The sequence below is a fragment of the Homo sapiens genome, chromosome 5, assembly GCF_000001405.40.
Source record: "Homo sapiens chromosome 5, GRCh38.p14 Primary Assembly".
Taxonomy (NCBI): domain Eukaryota; kingdom Metazoa; phylum Chordata; class Mammalia; order Primates; family Hominidae; genus Homo; species Homo sapiens.
This window is the reverse complement of record NC_000005.10, coordinates 66,446,050-66,451,127: the sequence shown is the minus strand read 5'-3', so window position 1 is coordinate 66,451,127 and position 5,078 is coordinate 66,446,050.

Here is a 5,078-nt window from a genome sequence, read left to right as displayed (position 1 = left end):
TGCCATAAAGAAGAAAAACAAGAACCAAGTGAGGAAGGGAGGAGGGAAATGACGGAGACTGAAGTATTTACTAGGTGAAAAACATACAGAGAGGCAGAGAATTTGTTATTTTAGTTATTGAACATTTAATTTGGTAAAGTTCTAGTAATAAAAGATATGAATCATATAAATGGTTGGGTTTTGGCTTTCTCATGTAAAATCGGAACTGGCAAAATTGCTGCATTGACAGCTTTGTAGGTAGAAACATACAAAAAGCAGCTGCTCTGGGGGTCTCGGCACAGCTTATACAAGCTGGATCACTGTTCATGGTTCATCACAGGTTTGCTGACATCTCTATTTCCATTTATGAAAAATCTGGGTGCCACTTAAACCTTGGCAAGACCACAGGGAGCCAAACAGAAGGCATCTAACAGCATTTTCTACTTACCGCCCTGTATTCCGGGAAATCCCAGACAAACCCTGTAGATTCTTGATGCACACAGAGATGCTCAGATCACTTTTGGCTTCCATGAGCACTCTTTTGGGGGAGAAAAAGCTGGCTGGCCAAGATCGGACATCAAACCAACCATTAAACCCAAGTCACTCTTTCTGCTCCTGAAGGTCTTCTAGCAGCTCTCCAGCTCCAGCTTGCATCAGTATCACTAGGAGGGCTTGTTAAAACACAGCTCGTTGAGGCCTCCCCTAGAGTTTATGATGCAGTGCCTCAGGGGTGGGGATTTAAAATTTGCATTTCTGAGTCTACAGCTCCCAGCGTGAACAACACAGAAGATGGGTGATTTCTGCATTTCCAACTGAGGTACCGGCTTCATCTCACTAGGGAGTGCCGGACAGTGGGGGCAGGACAGTGGGTGCAGCACACCATGTGTGAGCTGAAGCAGGGCGAGGCATTGCCTCACCCGGGAAGCACAAGGGGTCAAGGAATTCCCTTTCCTAGTCAAACAAAGGGGTGACAGACGGCACCTGGAAAATTGGGTCACTCCCACCCTAATACTGTGCTTTTCCGATGGGCTCAACAAACGGCACACCAAGAGATTATATCCCACACCTGGCTTTGAGGGTCCTACGCCCACAGAGCCTCACTCATTGCTAGCATAGCAGTCTGAGATCAAACTGCAAGGTGGCAGCGAGGCTGGGGGAGGGGCGCCCGCCATTGCCCAAGATTGAGTAGGTAAACAAAGCGGCTGGGAAGCTCGAACTGGGTGGAGCCCACCCAGCTCAAGGAGGCCTGCCTGCCTCTGTAGGCTCCACCTCTGGGGGCAGGGCACAGACAAACAAAAGACAGCAATAACCTCTGCAGACTTGAATGTCCCTGTCTGACAGCTTTCAGGAGAGTAGTGGTTCTCCCAGCACACAGCTTGAGATCTGAGAACAGGCAGACTGTCTCCTCAAGGGGGTCCCTGACCCCTGAGTAGCCTAACTGGGAGGCACTCCCCAGTAGGGGCAGACTGACACCTCACACAGCTGGGTACTCCTCTGAGACAAAACTTCCAGAGGAACGATCAGGCAGCAGCATTTGTGGTTCACCAATATCTGCTGTTCTGCAGCCACCGCTGCTGATACCCACGCAAATGGTCTAGAGTGGACCTCCAGCAAACTCCAACAGACCTGCAGCTGAGGGTCCTGAGTGTTAGAAGGAAAACTAACAAACAGAAAGGACATCCACACCAAAAACCCATCTGTACATCACCATCATCAAAGACCAAAGGTAGATAAAACCACAAAGATGGGGAAAAAACAGAGCAGAAAAACTGGAAACTCTAAAAAGCAGAGCGCCTCTCCTCCTCCAAAGGAACGCAGCTCCTCACCAGCAACGGAACAAAGCTGGACAGAGAATGACTTTGACGAGTTGAAAGAAGAAGGCTTCAGAAAATCAAACTACTACAAGCTAAAGGAGGAAGTTCAAACCAATGGCAAAGAAGTTAAAACCTTTGAAAAAAAAATTAGACGAATGGACAACTAGAATAACCAACACAGAGAACTCCTTAAAGGACCTGATGGAGCTGAAAACCATGGCACAAGAACTACGTGACGAATGCACAAGCCTCAGTAACTGATGCAATCAACTGGAAGAAAGGGTATCAGCAATGGAAGACAAAATGGAAGACACACACATGAAATGAAGTGTGAAGAGAAGTTTAGAGAAAAAAGAATAAAAAGAAATGAACTAAGCCTCCAAGAAATATGGGACTATGTGAAAAGACCAAATCTATGACTGATTGGTGTACCTGAAAGTGATGGGGAGAATGGAACCAAGTTGGAAAACACTCTGCAGGATATTATCCAGGAGAACTTCCCCAATCTAGCAAGGCAGGCCAACATTCAAATTCAGGAAATACAGAGAACGCCACAAAGATACTCCTCCAGAAGAGCAACTCCAAGACACATAATTGTCAGATTCACCAAAGTTGAAATGAAGAAAAAAATGTTAAGGGCACCCAGAGAGAAAGGTCGGGTTACCCTCAAAGGGAAGCCCATCAGACTAACAGCTGATCTCTGGGCAGAAACTCTACAAGCCAGAAGAGAGTGGGGGCCAATATTCAACATTCTTAAAGAAGAGAATTTTCAACCCAGAATTTCATATCCAGCCAAACTAAGTTTCATAAGTGAAGGAGAAATAAAATCCTTTACAGACAAGCAAATGCTGAGAGATTTTGTCACCACCAGGCCTGCCCTAAAAGAGCTCCTGAAGGAAACACTAAACATGGAAAGGAACAACCGGTACCAGCCCTGCAAAATCATGCCAAATTGTGAAGACCATCAAGGCTAGGAAGAAACTGCCTCAACTAATGAGCAAAATAACCAGCTAACATCATAATGACAGGATCAAAGTCACACATAACAATACTAACCTTAAATGTAAATGGGCTAAATACTCCAATTAAAAGGCACAGACTGGCAAACTGGATAAAGAGTCAAGACCCATCAGTGTGCTGTATTCAGGAAACCCATCTCACATGCAGAGACACACATAGGCTCAAAATAAAGAGATGGAGTAAGATCTACCAGACAAATGGAAAACAAAAAAAGTCAGGGGTTGCAATCCTAGTTTCAGATAAAACAGACTTTAAACCAACAAAGATCAAAAGAGACAAAGAAGGCCATTACATAATGGTAAACGGATCAATTCAACAAGAAGAACTAACTATCCTAAATATATATGCACCCAATACAGGAGCACCCACATTCATAAAGCAAGTCCTTAGTGACCTACAAGGAGACTTAGACTACCACACAATAATAGTGGGAGACTTTAACACCCCACTGTCAACATTAGACAGATCAACGAGATAGAAAGTTAACAAGGATATCCAGGAATTGAACTCAGCTCTGCACCACGAAGACCTAATAGACATCTACAGAACTCTCCACCCCAAATCAACAGAATATACATTCTTTTCAGCACCACACCACACCTATTCCAAAATTGACCACATACTTGGAAGGAAAGCTCTCCTCAGCAAATGTAAAAGAACAGAAATTATAACAAACTATCTCTCAGACCACAGTGCAATCAAACTAGAACTCAGGATTAAGAAACTCACTCAAAACCGCTCAACTACATGGAAACTGAACAACCTGCTCCTGAATGACTACTGGGTACATAACAAAATGAAGGCAGAAACAAAGATGTTCTTTGAAACCAACAAGAACAAAGACACAACATACCAGAATCGCTGGGACACATTCAAAGCAGTATGTAGAGGGAAATTTATAGCACAAATGCCCACAAGAGAAAGCAGGAAAGATCTAAAATTGACATCCTAACATCACAATTAAAAGAACTAGAGAAGCAAGAGCAAACACTTTCAAAAGCTAGCAGAAGGCAAGAAATAACTAAGGTCAGAGCAGAACTGAAGGAAATAGAGACACAAAAAACCCTTCAAAAAATCCATGAATCCAGGAGCTGGTTTTTTGAAAAGATCAACAAAATTGATAGACTGCTAGCAAGACTAATAAAAAAGAGAGAAGAATCAAATAGACGCAATAAAAAATGACAAAGGGGATATCACCACCGATCCCACAGAAATACAAACTACCATCAGAGAATACTATAAACACCTCTACACAAATAAACTAGAAAATCTAGAAGAAATGGATAAATTCCTGGACACATACACTCTCCCAAGACTAAACCAGGAAGAAGTTGAATCTCTGAATAGACCAATAACAGGATCTGAAATTGAGGCAATAATTAATAGCTTACCAACCAAAAAAAGTCCAGGACCAGATGGATTCATAGCCGAATTCTACCAGAGGTACAAGGAGGAGCTGGTACCATTCCTCCTGAAACTATTCCAATCAATAGAAAAAGAGGGAATCCTCCCTAATTCATTTTATGAGGCCAGCATCATCCTGATACCAAAGCCTGGCAAAGACACAACCAAAAAAGAGAATTTTAGACCAATATCCTTGATGAACATCGATGCAAAAATCCTCAATAAAATACTGGCAAACCAAATCCAGCAACACATCAAAAAGCTTATCCACCATGATCAACTGGGCTTCATCCCTGGGATGCAAGGCTGGTTCAACATACAAAAATCAATAAACATAATCCAGCATATAAACAGAACCAAAGACAAAAACCACATGATTATCTCAACAGATGCAGAAAAGGCCTTTGACAAAATTCAACAACCCTTCATGCTAAAAACTCTCAATAAATTAGGTATTGATGGGACATATCTCAAAATAATAAGAGCTATCTATGACAAACCCACAGCCAATATCATACTGAATGGACAAAAACTGGAAGCATTCCCTTTGAAAACTGGCACAAGACACGGATTCCCTCTCTCACTACTCCTATTCAACATAGTGTTGGAAGTTCTGACCAGGGCAATCAGGCAGGAGAAGGAAATAAAGGGCATTCAATTAGGAAAAGAGGAAGTCAAATTGTCCCTGTTGGCAGACAACATGATTGTATATCTAGAAAACCCCATTGTCTCAGCCCAAAATCTCCTTAAGCTGATAAGCAACTTCAGCAAAGTCTCAGGATACAAAATCAATGTACAAAAATCACAAGCATTCTTATACACCAATAAAAGACAGCGAGCCAAATCATGAGTGAATTCCCA